General features: G+C 39.5%; 1 protein-coding gene across 4 annotated transcripts in view; it reads left to right on the forward strand.

Moving 5' to 3' along the window:
* TMEM38B (transmembrane protein 38B) overlaps positions 1-21,397 on the forward strand; it is an 82,089-nt gene that overhangs the window by 41,452 nt on the left and 19,240 nt on the right. For 3 of the 4 annotated variants that reach the window (NM_018112.3, XM_011518832.4, XM_005252075.3), the window contains one exon: positions 12,081-12,198. In NM_018112.3, the coding sequence (NP_060582.1) occupies positions 12,081-12,198 (118 nt within the window). Of the gene's footprint in view, positions 1-8,619; positions 8,648-12,080; positions 12,199-13,083; positions 13,120-21,397 lie in introns of those variants that run through there. The other variant, XM_011518831.3, reaches the window with a different exon arrangement.

Here is a 21,397-nt window from a genome sequence, read left to right on the forward strand (position 1 = left end):
AAAAATAGCTGGTATTTAGAGATTGCTGCACCATGCCTGACTAACTAAAACACATTTTTTTTGTTTTTTTTTTTTTTGGTAGAGATAGGATCTCACTATGTTGCCCAGGCTTGTCCTGAACTCCTGGCCTCAAGCAGCCCTCTCATTTTGGCTTTCCAGAGTGCTGGGATTACATGTGGATTATTTTATTAAATAAGCTTTCTGTCCCTTTTACTGTCCCTTCTCCTTCTGTAGCTTTCATAATGTGAAAATTTGTTTGCCAGATAGTGTCCTATAAGTCCCATAGGCTTTCTTTACTCTTTTTCATTCTTTTTCCTTTTTCCTCCTGACTGGTTAATTTCAAACACTTGTTTTTAAGTCACAATTCTTTTTTCTACTTTTCTAATCTGCTATTGCAGCTCTATTTTTTTTTTAAATTCATTCATTGGATTCTTCAGCTCCAAGATTTTTGATTGGTTCTTTTTAAATGATTTCTGTCTCTGTTGAGCTTCTCATTCAGATAACTAATCGTTTTCCTGGTTTTGTTGAATTATCTATCTGTATTCTCTTGTGTCTCACTGAGTTTCCTTAAGATCATTATTTGAATTCCTTTTTAGGCAGTTTATAACTTTTCATTTCTTTGGGGTCAGTTACTGGAGAATTACTGTGTTTCTTTTGTGGTGTCACATTTCCTTGCTTTTTCCTATTTTGTGTGTCCTGTCCAGCATTTATATCTGTACATCTCATGGAACAATCACCTCTTCCAAACTTTACATAGTGGTTTTCATAGGGAAAGGCTTTCACCTGTGTGTACCAGTTGGGCAGGTTATGGTGACTCTTGTTCTGAGTGGGCACACTGGTGTAGTTTCTGTGCAGCTTCTTTAACTATAATCAATGTCATTGATGACCTTGGGTGCCTAAGTGGCTTAAGCTTTTAAGAGCTTGTGGCAGCAGTACTGGCAGCATGAGTTGTTAGGATCCTCAGTTGCAAGGACTTTTGGGGTCCTCTAGTTCTTGTTTTCCCAGCAACGGGATGGATCCTAGCTGAGGGGATCCTTCTTGGTGTCTGATCTGACATGGCCCACAGGCAGTCACAGCAGTGCTGGGCTGCAGGGTGCGTGCTTGGATTGGCCGTGGGGCCAATGTGCTGAGCTTGAAACTTCTGTAGCACCTTGGGCTACACATTTACTCTATGAGGTCAGAGTAGATGCAGATCGGCCACAAAGTTAGGGTCTGTGATGCTGAGGTTCACCACAGCAGTTTGTTCCCATGGGGCAGGGATGTAGCTGTGACTCTAATCCTGGGGGCAGGGCACAGAACTGGCATAGCTCTGGAGAAGAAGGGGTGCTCCAGAGGCCTGAGTCGCAGGGAGTAAGAGTCCCAGAGTCAAGAGTACACACCAGAAACTCAGCCCTGGGGCATGAGGCACTATGCAGTGGGGACTCTGGACCCTGGGCTGGTAGTATATGGCAGAGGCCCAAGTTTTGTCAGGCCATGTGCAGCAACAACAGTTACCCAGTAATGGTGGAGCACAGCTGTGTCTTGGGCCCTGGAGGGCAAGCAGTAGCACAATGACGACTCTACTCTCTGAGGAAGTGGGATGCCTCAGCAGCGTAGACGCTGGGGACTAGTCCAGTTCTGTGGAAGTAGGGTGTTGCATCCGTTCCACCTGGAAGACAGGGTGGTTCAGCTCAACCAATGCTCTATTTCCCTGGGATGCGGGACCCTGCATGTTTCAGGTGCCAAGGGGGATCAACTGCTTGGCTAGACCAGTGCACAGGTTCCCTGGGAATTGGAGTGCCACGTCAGCTCCGGTGCTGCTTTGGCTCAGGTGTCAGAGGTGTGACTGCTCTGCTTGGCCAAAGTCCTTATTTCTCAGAAGGTGAAGTGCTGCATTAGCTTAGACCCTGAGGAGTAGGACACAGAAACAACTGGGATGCAGGGGATGGAGTGGCTCCATAGCAGCTTGACCCCAAGGGTAGGGCATTGTAGCAGGTAGGCTTGAGGATGGCAGGTCACCAGACAGGCATGGTGCAGTGATAACAAAACCTCAGGGATGGAAGGGTACAGTAGCTATTTGCCTACAGAGCAGGATGCACTCCCAGAGAGGCTCTGCTTTCAAGATGGTGTAGCACAGTAGCAGGTTGGGCTACAGAAGATGAGGGAGGTGTAGGATTCTTCCTTGGGGTGAACACAGCCGTATGGACTCTGAACAATTCCCTCAGCTGGGCTCAGTACCTATGAGGTCTGCAGAAGTCCACAGTGGTGAAGACTGTGGGTGTTCACGGTGGTGGTGAGGGTTGTTGGGGTTCTTTTGTTTACCTTTTCTTGGAAGAGAGAAGTCCCTCCTGGTTTCAAGCTGACCCTGTCAGGGGAAGTAGTGGTGGAGACAAGGTCTTTTCTTCCCTTCTCTACATGGCCATACTCTGTTTTTGTGCTCTATATATAGAGTTGCTTCTACTCCTTTGCTGCATTCTGGTACTTTCCTTTAGTTATTTTCATCAAGATGTAGTTGTTATTTATTGTTTTGTTTGTTTGTTTTGGTGTGGGGGGCAGTGCTAGGAACTTGTAGTTGGCCACCTTGCTAACATCACTCTATTTTCTTGTTTCTTATGCTTTTGATGTCAATTTTTGATGTCAAGAAGAATCCATTGACAAATCTAAGGTCATGAAGATTTTCCCGTGTTTTCTTTTAAGAGTTAACTTAAAAGAAGCTCACAGATCCATATGAGTTAATTTTTTCCTTTTTTTTTTTTTTTTTTTTTGAGACAAGGTCTCACTCCGTCGCCCAGGCTGAGTGCAGTGGCGCTGTCACAGCTCACTGCAGCCTCGACCTCCCAGCCTCAAGCAATCCCCCCGTCTCAGCCTCCTGAGTAGCTGGGACTACAGGCATATATTGCCACACCCAGGTAATTTTTATTTTTTATTTTTTGTAGAGATGGAGTCTTACTGCGTCACCCAGGCTAGTCTCAAACTGCTGGATGCAAGTGATACTCCTGCCTAGTCTCCCAAAGTGCTGGGATTATAGGTGTGAATCACTGTGCCTGGCCTGAGTTAATTTTTATATATCATATGAATAGGGGCTCACCTTCATTCTTTTGTATGTGGATGTATAGTTGTCCTAGCACCATTTATTGAATTCTTTTCCCACTGAATAGACTTGGTACCCTACTAGAAAATCAACTGAGCATAGATGTATGGGTTTATTTCTAGACTGTCTGTTCTATTCCATTGTCTATATGTTTATCATTGTGCTAGTGCCATACCATTTTGATTACTGTAGCATTTTAGTTAAGTCCCCAAATTAGGCAGTGTGTGTCCTTTAACTTGGTTCTTTTTTTTTTTTTTCCAAGATTGTTTTGGCCATTCAGGATCCCTAGTAATTTCACGTGAATTTGAGGCTTCCGTAAAAATCCTAGGTAATTTTTTCCATTTCTGCAAAACAAAAAAAAGTAATCAAGTGAAAAACAAAAATAGTGATGGAATTTTGATAGACATAACATTGACCCCGTAGATGGCTTTGGGAATTATTGCTGTCTTATAACAATATTAAGTGTTCCTTTTTCTTTTTTTAGACAGAGTGTCACTCTGTCCCCAGGCTGGAGTGCAGTGGCGTGATTTCAGCTCACTGCAACCTCTGCCTCCTGGGTTCAAGTGATTCTCCTGCCTCAGCCTCCCAAGTAGCTGGGATTACAGGCAGGTGCCACCACGCCAGTCTAATTTTTGTATTTTTAGTAGAGAAAGCGTTTCACCATGTTGGCCAGGCTGGTCTCGAACTCCTGACCTCAAGTGATCTGCCCACCTTGGCCTCCTAAAATGTTGGGATTATGGGCATGAGCCACCATGCCTGGCCGGTTTTAAGTCTTCCAATGTATGAACATGGGATAGCTTTCTATTTAATTACGTCTTTTTAAACTTTTTTTTTGTTTGAGACAGAGTCTTGCTCTGTCACCTAGGTTGGAGTGCAGTGGTGCGATCTTGGCTTACTGCACCCTCTGCCTTCCGGGTTCAAGTGATTCTCCTGCCTCAGCCTCCCGAGTAGCTGGGATTACAGGTGCACACCACCATGCCCAGCTAGTTTCTGTATTTTTAGTAGAGACGGGGTTTCACCATGTTGGCCAGGCTGGTCTCGAACTCCTGACCTCAGGTAATCCACCCGCCTTGGCCTCCGAAAGTGTTGGGCTTACAGGTGTGAGCCACCACTCCTGGCCTTAAACTTTTTTCAGTAATGTTTTATAGTTTTTAGTGTGCAAGTCTTCCACTTCCTTCATTAAATTTATTCCTAGGTGTTTTTTTTTTTTTTTTTTGAAACAGGGTCTTGCTCTGTTGCCCAGGCCAGAGTGCAGTGAAGTGATCTTGGCTCTCTTCAATCTCCCTGTCGTCCTCCCAGGCTCTAGTGATCCTCCCATCTCAGCCTCCCAGGTAGCTGGGACCACAGGCATATGCCACTGTGCCCAGCTAATTTTTGTGTTTTTTGTAGAGACCAGGTTTCACCAGGTTGCCCAGGCTGGTCTTGAACTCGTGAGGTCAAGCGATCCACCCTCTTAGCCTCCCAAAGTGCTGGAATTACAAGCGTGAGCCACCACGCCCGGCCCCTAGGTATTCTTTAAATGCTAGTACGTGGAATTGTTTCTTAATTGCCTTTCATATTGCTTATTGCTGCCAGTTCATTTAATGAAAAAATCTAGTCCTGCCAAAAACGAAGTCAAGTTGTCCCCTGTCCCCACAAGTAACTCTTTTAGAGTGTTTTCCTTCTTTTCCTTCTCCACCTCCAAGTTTTAAGAAGTAAAATATACGTATTGTGGAAAATTTGGGGAAATGTTAACATAAAAGAAACTTCTAATCTATTGTTTAGTGACAATTTCTGTTAATGTGTCAGTATATTTCTATATTTTTCTGCATAAATATATTTTTACAGTAAATAAATGCAGTAAGACTGAACAATGGTTTCTAAAGTTCTAATGGTGTTTAACCTCTGGAACCTGAAATGTTACCGATATGGGAACATGTTCTTTGCATATCTGCAAATTAAAAATCTTGAGATGAAGAGGTCCTCCTGGATTTCTGGTGGGACGGAATGCAGTCACATGTATCCTTATAAGAGGAAAACAGAGGGAGATTTGACCACACATCTGAGAGATTAGAATGCTATAGCCACAAGCCAAGTTAGCCACCAGAAGCTGAAAAAGACAAGGAATGGATTCTCTCCTACTGACGCTGATTTTGACTGATACTGATTTTAAATTTCTCTGTTTTTAAACCACTGAGCTTGTTATAATTTATTACACTAGCCACAGGAAAGTAATAGAGATTTTGGTACAGGATATGGTGTGCTGCTGTAACAGATACCTGGGATTAGATAATTGGTGGAGGCTAGAGGAATTTTGAAGTGCACAGTGGAATTATGGATGTTAAAGGCATTTCTGGTGAGGGGTCCGAAGGAAGTGAGGAGCATATTAGAGCCTATAAATATATAGTCTTTGATAATACATATATTGTTATAAGCAAAATGTACATGTAGGAATATTGTTAAAGGTGCTGGTGAAGACTTCGAAGGAAATAAGGAACATGATATTGGGAACTGGAGAAAGGTTATCCTTGTTATATTGTGGTGGAAACTTAGCTGCACAATTGTTTGCCACAGTTGTGTGGAAAGCATAACTTGTGATCAGTGAATGTGGATGTTTTTGCTGAGGAAATTTCCAAGCAAAGTGTTCCAGGTACAGCCTGGTTTCTTCCTGATGCTTATAATAAAGTGCAAGAGGAAAGAGTTAAATTGAGGGAATAAATGCTACTAACCAAACAAATAAAACCCCTCAAAACCAGGACTCAATCATTTGGGAAATTCTCAGCCTATTGAGATTGCAAAGTTGATAAAACTGAGATTCACTCTGGAGAGAAGTGAGGGTGTGACTGGTCAACTTTTCCTAGTGTTGAAGGGATTGGATGTTTGACTCCTGGATCCATTCAATTGTTATAGCAGAAGCCAGGGATAGAGAGGAGGTTATACAAGAAAGATCTGTGGAAGACTCTCTTTGCCTAGTGACATGGATTGCTGTGCATACACAGGAGACCCACTGGGGATTTGGAAATATTAAATCAGAAGAAACACTGCCAGCTTGGACTGAAAGGAGAAAGACAGGATTAAATGAAAGAAGGCTGTCAGACTTTTAAAATTCTGCATGCCAGAATCAGGCTGATAAAACTGCTCAGCTGCAAACATATGCTTGAAAAAGAAAGGAAAAGGAAGAATGACTTCATGGTAGGAGCTACAGGCCTAGAGGCCTGTGGCCAGGCCCATAGGCTGGATTCAGGTGCAGAGGTCAGAACCACCAATGTAGAGGTTGAAGCTGTGGACTCACCTCAAGCCACAGAAGATTATTCCCAGGCTTTGAATCCTAATGGAATTTGCCCTTCTGGATTTCAAAATGGCTTGGGACTGTTGAACCTTTTTCCTCCTCTTTTCTCCCTTTTGGAATGGCAATATCTTTAACTGTTATTCAATGCTTATTTCACCATTGCATTTTGGAAGCAGATAACTTGTTTGCTAGTTTCAGAGGAAACTAATATAGTAAGCATAAGAATTTTCTAAATGCATTCTAATCTTTTAAACAAATCCATACTCCAATTTAAAATGGACTTCTTCCTAAATTTAAGCCCTTCTCCAATGCCTTGCCCCAGTGCATTTTCTATGAAATCCTTGTTCCTTAGACTCAACCCTTAAGAGAATACAATCCAAAATGGTAGATGTGTATGCCAAGGTGATGCGCATAATGAGCCACTGTGGTGCAGAAAACAAACAGTGAGAAAGAAAGAGTAGCAGAATAACCTTAAAACAGATATAATTCCATGTTTTTATCTTATCCTTTTAAATTTTTAATTTTGTGTACATTTTATAATACAGTTACACATATAATTTCCAAATTAATTGATAACCATAATTTGGGAATGTTGTAAAACTTTTTTTTTAACCAATAGGAATGTACAATCAAAAAGGTTTAGAGACCACCGTTCTAAAACATGACTGTTGGCGGTGCATTTGGTGGTCCCGCGGATCTGTTCCTTGCTTCAACAGTGTTTGGATGGAACAGATCTGGGGACTAAAGAAAAAAACAAAGAAGAAGAAAACAATAAAATAAAACATGACTGTTACCCAATCATATTGTTAAGCGAGATCCAGAACCTGAAAAAGACAAGGAATGGATTCTTTCTTAGAGTTTCTGGAAGTAGTGTGGCCCTACTGACACTTTGATTTTAACTGAGTGATACTGATTTTAGATTTTTCTATTTTAAGCCACTGAATTTGTTGTAATTTATTGCCATAGCCACAGGAAAGTAATACAAGTTTGGTCTGTTGTCCAAACCTCATCCTGCTTTGAACTCAGTCCTTAGCTTGCAATAATTAAATAAATAAAATAATAAAATGGCTTATAGGAACCTTTAGATTTGTCCTGTTTTGCAGTGTGGCATTCTTAGAGTTTATCATTTATCTTTTTTACTTGTAAGATAGAGAGTTAGACAATAATTTGTTACTGAGATATACTTTAAATATGTGGCAAATATATAACATGAAGTGATGCTTCTTATTTGGTAAATTAGCATCTTATTTTAGACTTTACAATTTAAGCATTAATATATTAGCTAAAAATAATATGCTGTCCTGGAGTTAGCTAAATGATGGGCTGCAGATGGCTTTTATTGTTTTATGAGAACCAGTTGTGTACATCTCTCCTCTTCCATAGAGCACCCTGACATTGGCCATGATGTGAGTATTTACATCATGGAAATGGGCAAATGCTAAAAATCCGGGCTTTCTTTTCCTGCATTCCACCCTGTGAGCTTTTTAGCACTGTAAGGTTTTTAAAGACTAATTCCAAATCATGCTATACAATGTGGAACTTTGAAATCCTTTATGAAAAAATTGTTATATACCCAAATATGTTTCAGAAATATTGTGTATAGAAATGTACTCTTTTTGTTGGAGAGTCAGAATATGTATGGTTATTCTAAAATCTATAGTTTATGATGTGAAGAAAGGTATTTAACTTTGTATAACTCAGCATTTTCTTTTTTTTTATTTTTGCTAAGTTTAATTCCTTTATTTGACAAAAGACATCATAAATAAATACCAAAACCATGGGTTGGGATAAAATATTTATAATGGCTAAAACCAGCAAAGAATTCGTATGTAAAATATAATTTATATATAAAATCATAAATTAACAAGAAAAATATAAACAATAGAAGAATGGATGAAGGCTGTGAACAATTTACAAAAGATAATCCTGAATAACTTGAAATTTATAGGAGTAAAAAATGAGACATGTTTTCATAGATTTTCTATTCTTTCAGTTGAATATGAGGAGTATATAGGAAGACAATAAATGAGTATTGTCAACCTGCCATTTTTAACTTAGAACGTGTTATTTTGCATCAATAATCTGAATATTTTTGCAAAGAATAGGATCGTAGCACTGTCTACGTATCCAAGTATGAAGGCATACTTGGGATGAATATATACTCAAGCTGCTTTTACTTTCCATCTAGTCCTAAGAAAAGATATTTATTGACTGTTTTAGCAATGTAATTTCTTTTTTTTATTTTTTTATTTTTTATTTTTATTTTTTATTTTACTTTAAGTTTTAGGGTACATGTGCAGAACGTGCAGGTTTGTTACATATGTATACATGTGCCATGTTGGTGTGCTACACCCATTAACTCGTCATTTAACATTAGGTATATCTCCTAATGCTATCCCTCCCCATTTCCCCCACCCCATGACAGGCCCTGGTGTGTGATGTTCCCCTTCCTGTGTCCATGTGTTCTCATTGTTCAATTCCCACCTATGAGTGAGAACATGTGGTGTTTGGTTTTTTGGTCCTTGCGATAGTTTGCTGAGAATGATGGTTTCCAGCTTCATCCATGTCCCTACAAAGGACATGAACTGATCATTTTTTATGGCTGCATAGTATTCCATGGTGTATATGTGCCACATTTTCTTAATCCAGTCTATCATTGTTGGATATTTGGGTTGGTTCCAAGTCTTTGCTATTGTGAATAATGCCGCAATAAACATATGTGTGCATGTGTCTTTATAGCAGCATGATTTATAATCCTTTGAGTATATACCCAGTAATGGGATCGCTGGGTCAAATGGTATTTCTAGTTCTAGATCCCTGAGGAATCGCCACACTGTCTTCACAATGGTTGAACTAGTTTACAGTCCCACCAACAGTGTAAAAGTGTTCCTATTTCTCCACATCCTCTCCAGCACCTGTTGTTTCCTGACTTTTTAATGATCACCATTCTAACTGGTGTGAGATGGTATCTCATTGTGGTTATGATTTGCATTTCTCTGATGGCCAGTGATGATGAGCATTTTTTCATCTGTCTGTTGGCTGCATAAATGTCTTCTTTTGAGAAGTGTCAGTTCGTATCCTTCGCTCACTTGTTGATGGGGTTGTTTGTTTTTTTCTTGTAAATTTGTTTGAGTTCTTTGTAGATTCTGGATATTAGCCCTTTGACAGATAAGTAGATTGCAAACATTTTCTCCCATTCTGTAGGTTGCCTGTTCACTCTGATGGTAGTTTCTTTTGCTGTGCAGAAGCTCTTGAGTTTAATTAGATCCCATTTGTCAATTTTGACTTTTGTTGCCATTGCTTTTGGTGTTTTAGACATGAAGTCCTTGCCCATGCCTATGTCCTGAATGGTATTGCCTAGATTTTCTTCTAGGATTTTTATGGTTTTAGGTCTAACATTTCAGTCTTTAATCCATCTTGAATTAATTTTTGTATAATTACAAAAATTAATTTCAGTTTTCTACATATGGCTAGCCAGTTTTCCCAGCACCATTTATTAGGTAGGGAATCCTTTCCCCATTTCTTGTTTTTGTCAGGTTTGTCAAAGATGAAATAGTTGTAGATGTGTGGTATTATTTCTGAGGGCTCTGTTCTGTTCCATTGGTCTATATCTCTGTTTTGGTACCAGTACCATGCTGTTTTGGTTACTGTAGCCTTGTAGTATAGTTTGAAGTCAGGTAGCATGATGCCTCCAGCTTTGTTCTTTTGGCTTAGGATTGACTTGGCAATGCGGGCTCTTTTTTGTTTACATATGAACTTTAAAGTAGTTTTTTCCAATTCTGTGGAGAAAGTCATTGGTAGCTTGATGGGGATGGCATTGAATCTATAAATTAACTTGGGCAGTATGGCCATTTTCACGATATTGATTCTTCCTACTCATGAGCATGGAATGTTCTTCCATTTGTATCCTCTTTTATTTCATTGAGCAGTGGTTTGTAGTTCTCCTTGAAGAGGTCCTTCACATCCCTTATAAGTGGGATTCCTAGGTATTTTATTCTCTTTGAAGCAATTGTGAATGGGAGTTCACTCATGATTTGGCTCTCTATTTGTCTGTTATTGGTGTATAAGAATGCTCGTGATTTTTGCACATTGATTTTGTATCCTGAGACTTTGCTGAAGTTGCTTATCAGCTTAAGGAGATTTTGGGCTGAGACGATGGCGTTTTCTAAATATACAATCATGTCATCTGCAAACAAGGACAATTTGACTTCCTCTTTTCCTAACTGAATACTCTTTATTTCTTTCTCCTGCCTGATTGCCCTGGCCAGAACTTCCAACACTATGTTGAATAGGAGTGGTGAGAGAGGGCATCCCTGTCTTGTGCCAGTTTTCACAGGGAATGCTTCCAGTTTTTGCCCATTCAGTATGATATTGGCTGTGGGTTTGTCATAAATAGCTCTTATTATTTTGAGATGCGTCCCATCAGTACCTAATTTATTGAAAGTTATTAGCATGAAGGGCTGTTGAATTTTGTCAAAGGCTTTTTCTGCATCTATTGAGATAATCGTGGTTTTTGTCATTGGTTCTGTTTATATGCTGGATTATGCTTATTGATTTGCGTTTGTGGAACCAGCCTTGCATCCCAGGGACGAAGCCCACTTGATCATGGTGGATAAGCTTTTTGATGTGCTGCTGGATTCGGTTTGCCAGTATTTTATTGAGAATTTTTGCATCGATGTTCATCAGGGGTATTGGTCTAAAATTCTCTTTTTTGGTTGTGTCTCTGCCAGGCTTTGGTATCAGGATGATGCTGGCCTCATAAAATGAGTTAGAGAGGATTCCCTCTTTTTCTATTGATTGCTATAGTTTCAGAAGGAATGGTACCAGCTCCTCCTTGTACCTCTGGTAGAATTTGGCTGTGAATCCGTCTGGTCCTGGACTTTTTTTGGTTGGTAAGCTATTAATTATTGCCTCAATTTCAGAGCCTGTTATTGGTCTATTCAGAGATTCAATTTCTTCCTGGTTTAGTCTTGGGAGAGTGTATGTGTCGAGGAATTTATCCATTTCTTCTAGATTTTCTAGTTTATTTGTGTAGAGGTGTTTATAGTATTCTCTGATGGTAGTTTGTATTTCTGTGGGATCGGTGGTGATATCCCCTTTATCATTTTTTATTGCGTCTATTTGAGTCTTCTCTCTTTTCTTCTTTATTAGTCTTGCTAGCGGTCTATCAATTTTGCTGATCTTTTCAAAAAAACAGCTCCTGGATTCATTGATTTTTTGAAGGGTTTTTTGTGTCTCTATCTCCTTCAGTTCTGCTTTGATCTTAGTTATTTCTTGCCTTCTGCTAGCTTTTGAATGTGTTTGCTCTTGCTTCTCTAGTTCTTTTAATTGTGATGTTAGGGTGTCAATTTTAGATCTTTCCTGCTTTCTCTTGTGGGCACCTAGTGCTATAAATTTCGCTCTACACACTGCCTTACATGTGTCCCAGAGATTCTGGTATGTTGTGTCGTTGTTCTCGTTGGTTTCAAAGAACATCTTTATTTCTGCCTTCATTTTGTTATGCACCCAGTAGTCATTCAGGAGCAGGTTGTTCAGTTTCCATGTATTTGAGCAGTTTTGAGTGAGTTTCTTAATCCTGTAACTCAGCACTTTCAACACTTTTTAAAGTGTTTTAACAAAACTCATTTTTGCATTACATCTATTAATAACCCATTAAGTTAATGTTTTGCAGTGCACTCTTTGAGAAAGTTAGAGATATGTCATATTTATTACTTGCTGATTTAAAATGTGTTTTATTTTCAGCCCTGCCAAGGTAACCCTGCTGGGGTCAGTTATCTTCACATTCCAGCACACCCAGCATCTGGCAATATCAAAGCATAATCTTATGTTCCTTTATACCATCTTTATTGTGGCCACAAAGGTAAGAATTCAAAGTACCTATAATTATTACAAATCCTGTATAACTATTCCCCTTTGATACAATTTTGCATGCTGGGCAAGTAAGAGGAACATTTATTTATTATTATTATCTAAGAGGAATAATTTGGGGAGCTTTACTCAGCACATCCATGACTTTCTGAAACTTAGCTTTTCTGTGATTTCTCATTTGCTTTATGCTAGGGCTATCAGGACACAGTGGCAGATAGCCTAGTAGTATATTGGAGAAGACAGAGTAGTGGAAATAGCCAAGGCTGATCAGAGACTGCGAAGATGATACTGTCTCATTTGTAAAATGAGGCACTTGAGATAGATATTCTCTGAATTTCCTTTAAGCTCTAAAATTTCAAATATTTTATATTAGGACATATTTGTAGTCATTCTTTTCTATTACTATTGCCTGGTTGGAAGCTTTATTCCTTCCTGAAGATAGGTTAGAGACAGGCAGTCTTGGGTTCAAATCCCAGTTTTGCTGCCTAGTCCCTGAATAGGCAAGCCACTTAATGTCTCTGAATCCTGATTTTCTCATCTTCATTGTATGATTGTTGAGAGGATTGGAGAGGATGCATGTCTTTCTGTCACTGTATCTCATGTATCTTACGAATTTTGTTTGCAGCTGTATCATGAGGCTAATTCTGACTGTTCATACCATGATTAAGTATTGTTCCCTATTCGCAAGTAGACAATTGATTTTGTAATAAGATTATTATTTAAGTCTAGAAAATTTTATGGCCACCTCTGTTTTAGACTAGATATTTTTGGCTAAAAACTTATCTACAGGATTTTTAAAAGGAAAACAGGATAGATTATATAAATATGTGTCTTAGAATGAAGTCACTGTGTGAATCATTTATTTTTGTTTCAGTAGTCTCTGAATTGGAGATGATCTGTGGCTGTAATTCAGGTAACAAATATTGGAGGCAAAATCTCTTCACATGTAGTCTCTTCCAGTCCTCAAATGTTGAGCCGTGTATATTTTTTTCTAACAGCTTTATTGAGATATATTTTCCATACTGTGTTAGTCTGTTCTCATGCTGCTAATAAAGACATACCTGATACTGGGTAATTTATAAAGAAAAAGAAGTTTAAGGGACTCACATTTCCACATGGCTGGGGAGGCTTCACAATCATGGTGGAAGGTGGAGGAGGAGCAAAGGCACATCTTACATGGTGGCAGGCAAGAGAGCTTGTGCAGGGGAACTCCCATTTATAAAACCATCAGATTTCGTGAGACTTACTATCCCAAGAACAGCACAGGAAAGACCCTCATGATTCAGTTACCTTCATCTGGCCCCGCCCTTGTACAATTCAAGGTGAGATTTGAGAGTGGAGATATGAGTGATGTATGGTTTGAGCCAAACCATATCACATATCATACAATGCACTTAAACTGTATAATTGAATAGTTTTTTAGTATATTCATGGATTTGTGCAATTATCACTACAAATCAGTATTAGAACATTTTTATCACTCCAAAAAGAAACATCGTATTCTTTAGAAGTCATTTCACATTTTCCCCAATACTTCCAGCTATAGGCCATTTTATTTATCCATTCATCAGTTGATGGACATTTTGATTGTGTCACTTTTTGGCTAATATGGATAATGAGCTGTGAACATTCATGTAAAAATTTTTGTGTGGACATGTGATTCATTTCTCTTGAGTATATCATCTGTGAATGGAATTTTTAGGCCATATGTTAATTCTGTTTATCCTTTTGAGGAACTGATGCATTGTTTTCCAAAGTGGCTTTATCTTTTTATATTCCCACCAGCAATGTGTGAGATTTCCAATTTCACCACACCATTACTAGCGCATATTATTGTCTTTTTTATTATAGCCACCCTAGTGGGTGTGAAGTGGCATCTCACTGTGGTTTTGATGTACATCTGAGTATCTTTTTTGTGCTTGTTAGGTATTTGTATATCTTCTTTGGGAAAATATCTAGTCAGATCATTTGCCCATTTTCAATTTATATTTTGTTTTAGTGTTGAGTTGTAAAATTCTTTTCATATTTTGGATACTAGAATCTTACCAGACTTAATGATTTGCAGATATTTTCTTCCATTCTGTAAGTTTTTTTTTTCACTGATAGTGCCCTTAGAAGCACAAACTGGTAAAATTTTGTTGAAGGCCGGGCACAGTGGCTCACACCTATAATCCCAGCACTTTGGGAAGCTGAGGTGGGCAGATCACCTGAGGTCAGGAGTTTGAGACCAGACTAGCCAACATGGTGAAACCCCATCTCTACTAAAAATATAAAAATTAGTTGTGCGCGCCTGTAATCCCAGCTACTCAGGAGGCTGAGGCAGTAGAATCACTTGAACCAGGGAGGCAGAGGCTGCAGTGAGATGAGATTGTGCCACTGCACTCAAGCCTGGGCAACAGAGAAAGACTCTGTCTCAAAAAACAAAAAACAAAAAACACACATTTTTTTTATGAGTCCAATTTACCTATTTTCTCTTTTATTATGTATTCTTTGTGTGTCATAGCTAAGAAACCGTTGCCAAATCTAAGGTCATGAAGATTTACCTCTATATTTTCTTCAAGAGTTTTATAGTTTTAGCTCTTGTATTTAGTTTTTATGATCTGTTTTGAGTTAAATTTTGTGTATGGTATGACGAACAGTCCAAGTTTTCTCATGTGGATATATAGTTGTCTGAGCACTATTTATTGTAAAAACCGTTCTTTTCCTTTGTGAATTGCCTTTACAATCTTGTCAAAAATCAGTTGACTGTAAATTTGAGGGTTTATTTCTAGATTCTCAATTTTATTCCATCCATATGTGTGCCTGTCCTTATGCTATTACCATTACGTCTTAATTGTTGTAGCATTGTAGTTAGTTTTGAAATCAAGACGTGTGACTCTGGTAGGATCCAAGATGGCTGATTAGAAGCAGCTGTGGTCCATGGCACTCATGGAGAGAAGTGAAAAGGGGCAAGTGAATTCAGCACCTTCAACTGAAATAGCCAAGTTCTTGCATTGGGACTGTCTAGGCAGACAGCTTAACCCATGGAGAAGGAAGAAAAGCAGTGGGGTGGGGGACCATGGCCCACCTGGGAGCAGCATGGGGCCAAAGGAACCCCCATTGCCAGCCAAGGGAAGCAGTGAGTGATTATGCAACCTTGCCCAGGGAACCACGCTTTTCTCATGGACCTTTGCGACCCGTAGATCAGGAAATCCCATCGTGAGCCCATGCCACCAGGGTCTTGGGTCCAATACACACAGCTGTGTGGAGTTTTGGCAGAGCAGCTGCTCAGTCATACACAGAGACCCAGGAGTTTATATACTCTGGCCCTGGAGTCCTTAGCAAGTGAGGAAATCCATCCGTACATATTCCTAGGAAGAGGGCTGAATCCAGGGAACCAAGCAGCATTGTGCTGCAGGCCCCACTTCCATGGCATCTCATAATTTAAGACCCACTGGCTTGGGTTCCAGCCTGCCAACAGCAATAGGCTGGAATATGTCTGAGACAGGTCTTGAGTTCCTGGGGGGAGGGGCGGCTGGCATCTATGCAGTTTGGTAGACTCAGCCGTTCCAGCCTGCCAGCTTTGGAGAATACAAACAGTCCAGATGAGGAAGGGTCCCCCACAATGCAGCACAGCTGCCTTGGCAGATCATGGCCAGACTGCTTCTTTAAGCAGGACCCTGATTCATTCCTCCTCACTGGGCAGGACCTTCCTGTGGGGCCTTTAGCCACTTCAGAAGGGTTCTATTGGGACGTAGCTCTCAGGGGGAGGAGTGGCCGCCATTTTTGTGGTTTGGTAGACTCAGCTGCTGTAGTCTGCTGGCTTTGGAGAATACAAATGTTACAGATGAGAAAGAGTTTCCCCACAATGCAGCACAGCTGCTTTGCTAGATCATTACCAGACTGTTTTTTTAAGCCGGGCCATGATCCATTCCTCTTCACTGGAGAGGACCTCCCTACGGGGACTTCATCCATTCCAGCCAGGGTTCTCCATCTCTCCCTGGGATGGAGCTCCCAGAGGGAGGGGCAGTCACCATCTCTGTGACTCAGTTGACTCATCCATTCTAGGCTGCCGGCTTTGGAATGCCCAAATGGTTCAGACAAGGAAGGTCTCCCCCAGTGCAGCACACCTCTACCAAAAAGCAGCCAGACTGCTTTTTTAAGCGGGTCCCTGATCCTGTTCCTCCTGACTGGGTGAGACCTCCCAACAGGGATCTGTAACCACCTCCTACAGGTGTGTTCGGTCTGGCAGCAGGTCAGAACCCACCTGGGGCAGAGCTTCCAGAGGAAGGAGCTGGCTGCCATCTTTGCTGTTTCATAGCCATCACTGATGATACCTCCAGGTTTGGGAAAAACCAAGGTAACAAGGGTCTGGAGTGGACCCTCAGCAAACCGCAGCAACCCTGTGGTAGACTGGCCTGACTGTTAAAAACAAACAGAAAACAACAACAACATAAACAAAAAAGGCCCCACAAAAACCCCATTCAGAAGTCAGCAACTTCAAAGATCAAAGGTAGATAAGCCCACAAAGATGAGAAAGAATGCAAAAATGGTGAAAACTCAAAAAGCCAGAGTGCCTCTTCTCCCCAAAATGATTGCAACATCTCTGCAGCAAGGGCATGGAACTAGGCTGAGGCTGAGATGCCTGACTTGACAAAAGTAGGCTTCAGAAGGTGAGTAATAATGAGCTTCACTGAGCTAAAGGGGCATGTTCTAACCCAATGGAAAGAAGCTAAGAATCATGATAAAACGATAAAGGAGCTGATAGCTAGAATAGCCAGTTTAGAGAGGAACATAATTGACCTGATGGAACTGGAAAACACAACATGAGAACTTCACAATGCAATCACGAGTATCAACAGCAGAATACATGAAGCAGAGGAAAGCAGCTCAGAGCTTGAAGACTATCTTTCTGAAATAAGACAGGCAGACAAAAATAGAGAAAAAATAATGAAAAAGAATGAACAAAATCTCTGAGAAATAGGGGATTATGTAAAGAGACAGAACCTATGATTGGAGTACTTGAAAGAGACGAGGAGAATGGAACCAAGTTGGAAAACATACTTCAGGATATCATCCAGGAGAACTTCCCCCACCTAACAAGACAAGCCAACATTCAAGTTCAGGAAATCCAGGGAACCCAGTTAGATACTCCATGAGAAGTTCAACCCCAAGACACATAATCATCAGATTCTCCAAGGTCGAAATGAAAGAAAAAATGTTAAGGGCAGCCAGAGAGAAAAACCAGGTCACCATCAAAGGGAAACCCAGCAGACTAACAGTGGACCTCTCAGTGGAAACCCTACGAGCCAGAAGAGATTGGGGGCCAATATTCAATATTCTTAAAGAAAAGAATTTCCAACCCAGAATTTCATATCCAGCCAAACTAAGCTTCATAATTGAAGGAGAAATAAGATCCTTTTCAGACAAGCAAATGCCGAGGGAATTCATGACCACCAGGCCTGCTTTGCAAGAGCTCCTGAAGGAAGCACTAAATATGGAAAGGAAAAACCATTACCAGCCATTACAAAAACACACTGAAGCACAGACCAGTGACACTATGAAGCAACCATATAAACAAGTCTGCAAAATAACCAGCTAGCATCATGATGATAGGATCAAATTTACATAACAACAATACTAACCTTAAATATAAATGGGCTAGAGGCCCCAATTTAAAGACACAGAATGGCAGGCTGGATAAAGAGCCAAGACCCATCAGTATTCTGTCTTCAAGAAACCCATATTCCATGCAAAGACACACATAGGCTCAAAATAAAGGGATGGAGGAAAATTTACCAAGCAAATGGAAAACAGAGAAAAGCAGGGTTGCAATCCTAGTTTCAGACAAAACAGACTTTAAAACTAATGAAGGTAAAAAAAGACAAAGAAGTGCATTGCATAATGGTAAAGGATTCTAAATATATATGAACCCAATACAGGAGCACCCAGATTCATAAAGCAAGTCCTTAGAGATCTACAAAGGGACCTAGACTTCCACACAATAATAGTGGGAGACTTTAACACCCTACTGACAATATTAGATCATTGAGACAGAAAATTAACAGAGATATTCAGGACCTGACCTCAGCTCTGGATCAAGCAGAGCTGATAGATATCTACGGAACTCTCCACTCAAAAGCAACAGAATGTACATTCTTCTCATTGCCACACAGCACTTAATATAAAACTGACCACATAATTGGAAGTAAAACACTCCTCAGCAAATGTAAAAGAACTGAAATAATAACAGTCTCTCAGACCACAGATCAAATTAGAACTCAAGACTAATAAATGCACTCAAAACCAGACAACTTCATGGAAATTGAACAACCTGCTCCTGAACGACTCTTGGGTAATTAATGAAATTAAGGCAGAAATCAAGAAGTTGTTTGAAACTAATGAGAACAAAGAGACAGCATACCAGAAACTCTGGGATGCAGCTAAGGCAGTGTTAAGAGGGAAATTTATAGCACTAAATGCCCACATAAAAACCTAGAAAGATCTCAAGTTAACAACCTATCACCTCAACTGAAAGAACTAGAGAACCAAGAGGAAACCCCAAAGCTAGCAGAGGACAAGAAATAATCAAGATCAGAGTTGGACTGAAGGAGATGGAGACACAAAAAGCCCTTCAAAAAAATCAACAAATCCATGAGCTGGTTTTTGGAAAACGTTTATAAATAGACTACTAGCTAGACTAATAAAGAAAAACAGAGAAGAATCAAATAAACACAATCAGAAATGATAACACTGACCCCACAGAAATACAAACAACCATCTATATAGAGAATACTGTACTATATACTATAAGCAGAGAATACTAGAAACACCTCTATGCAAATAAACTAGAAAATCTAGAAGAAATGGATAAGTTCCTGGACACATACACCCTTGCAAGACTGAACCAGGAAGAAGTTGAATCTCCAGATAGACCAGTAATTAGTTCTTAAATTGAGGCAGTAATACATAGCCTACCAACCAAAAAAAGCCCAGGACCAGATGGATTCACAGCTGAATTATACCAGAGGTACAAAGAATTGCTGGTACCATTCTACTGAATCTAGTCCAAAATATTGAAAAGGAGAGACTCCTCCCTAACACACACTAGGGCCTGTCGGGGAGGTGGAGGGAGGGAGAGCATCAGAAAAATAGCTAATGGATGCTGGGCTTAATACCTGTGTGATGGGATGATCTGTGCAGCAGTCCATCATGACACACATTTACCTGTGTAACAAACCTGCACATCCTGTACATGTACCCCGATGTTAAATAAAAGTTGAAGAATGAAGAAAAATAGATAATAAAAAAGAAGTGTGACTCCTCTGAGTTTGTTGTTCTTTTTCAGAATTGTTTGACTATTCTGGATCACTACCATTGCCATATGAACTTTAGGAACAACTTCACAGTTTCTGCAAAGAAGCCAGCTCTTATTTTGATAGGGATTGCTTTAAATCTGTAAATTGACTTGAGAATAATTGCCATCTTAACAATAAGGTTTCCAATTCATTAACACAAGAGTTCTTTTGATTTAGTTGGGCCATCTTTGTTTTCAATATACAAGTCTTACACTTTTTTTGTTAAATTTATACCTAAGTATTTTATTCTTCTTTGATTTTATACTAAATACAATTGTTTTAAAATTTCACTTCCAGGCTGTTTATTACAAATATGTAGAAATACAATTGATATTTGTATATTGATTTTGTATCCTGCAACCTTGCTGAACTCATTTATTAGTTCTAATAGATGTTTTAAAAGGCAGATTCCTGGCTGAGCATGGTGGATCATGCCTGTAATCCTAGCACTTTGGGAGGCCAAGGTTGGCAGATCTCTAGAGGTCAGGAGTTCAAGACCAGTCTGGCCAACATGGTGAAATCCTATCTACTAAAAATACAAAAACAGAGGTTTCAGTGAGCCGAGATCGCGCCATTGCACTCTAGCCTGGGCAACAGAGCCAGACTCTGTCTCAAAAAACAAATAAATAAATAATAAAATAGAAGGTAGATTCCTTAGGATTTTCTATATGCAGGATTATGGCATCTGCAGATAGAGATAATTTTACTCTTTACTTTTCAATCTGCATGTCTTTAATTTTCTTGCCCAGTTGTCCTGGCTAGAACCTTCAGTATAGTGTTGATAGAAATGGAGAGAATGAGCATTCTTGTCTTTTTCTTGATCTTAGGGAGAAAGCATTTGGTATTTCACTATTAAGTATAATGTTGGCTGTGGGTTTTTCCTAGATGACTTTTAGCAGAGTAGGAAGTTTTCTTCTACTCCTAGTTTGCTGAATGGGTGGGAGCTGTATTATTTTTGAGTTTCTAACTTTAATCTTTAAAGAAAATGAATGTGTATTATGGGTTTGGTAAGAATAAATAGCACTGGTATCTTACATTTTCTTGAGTTACAGCATCAATTTTTGTTCATAGTCTAATTTGTGGAATAAAAATGATAATTTTTCTTACAATTGTTGCTGGATGTAAAGTTCTGTATTTTAACACCCAAACTTAAACACCATACTGCAATGTAATAATAATAAAGATATTTAAAAATAGGAAAACGTACAATGTTGAACATCTCTTATAATATTTCTCAACATTTTCCTAATTATAAAGTATATCCACCAGTTTCTAAATAGAATATTCATTTTTAACTAATTCATTTGCCTAAATCCCATTTAGATTTTACTGATACTGATAATATATTTGATAATCATAATGATTTTTTTATCTTTTAAATTTTATTTCAATAGTTTTTGGGGGACAGGTGTTTTTTTGGTTACATGGATAAGTTCTTTAGTGCTAATTTCTGAGTTTGGTACACCTGTCACCTGAGCGGTGTATACTGTACCCAATGTGTAGTCTTTTGTCCTTCATCTCTCTCCCACCCTTCCCCCCAAGTCCTCAAAGTTCATTGTATCATTCTTATGCCCTTGCATCCTCACAGCTTAGCTCCCACTTATAGAGAACATATGATATTTGGCTTTTCATTTCTGAGTTACTTCACTTAGAATAATGGTCTTCAACTCCATCCAGGTTGCTGCAAATGCCATTATTTTATTATTTTGTTCCTTTTTATGGCTGATTAGTATTCCATGGTGTATACATACCACATTTTCTTTATCTACTTGTTGGTTGATGGGCATTTAGGCTGGTTCCATATTTTTGCAATTGCTAATTGTGCTATAAACATGAGTTTGCAAGTGTCTTTTT

The sequence above is a fragment of the Homo sapiens genome, chromosome 9 (assembly GCF_000001405.40).
Source record: "Homo sapiens chromosome 9, GRCh38.p14 Primary Assembly".
Lineage (NCBI taxonomy): Eukaryota > Metazoa > Chordata > Mammalia > Primates > Hominidae > Homo > Homo sapiens.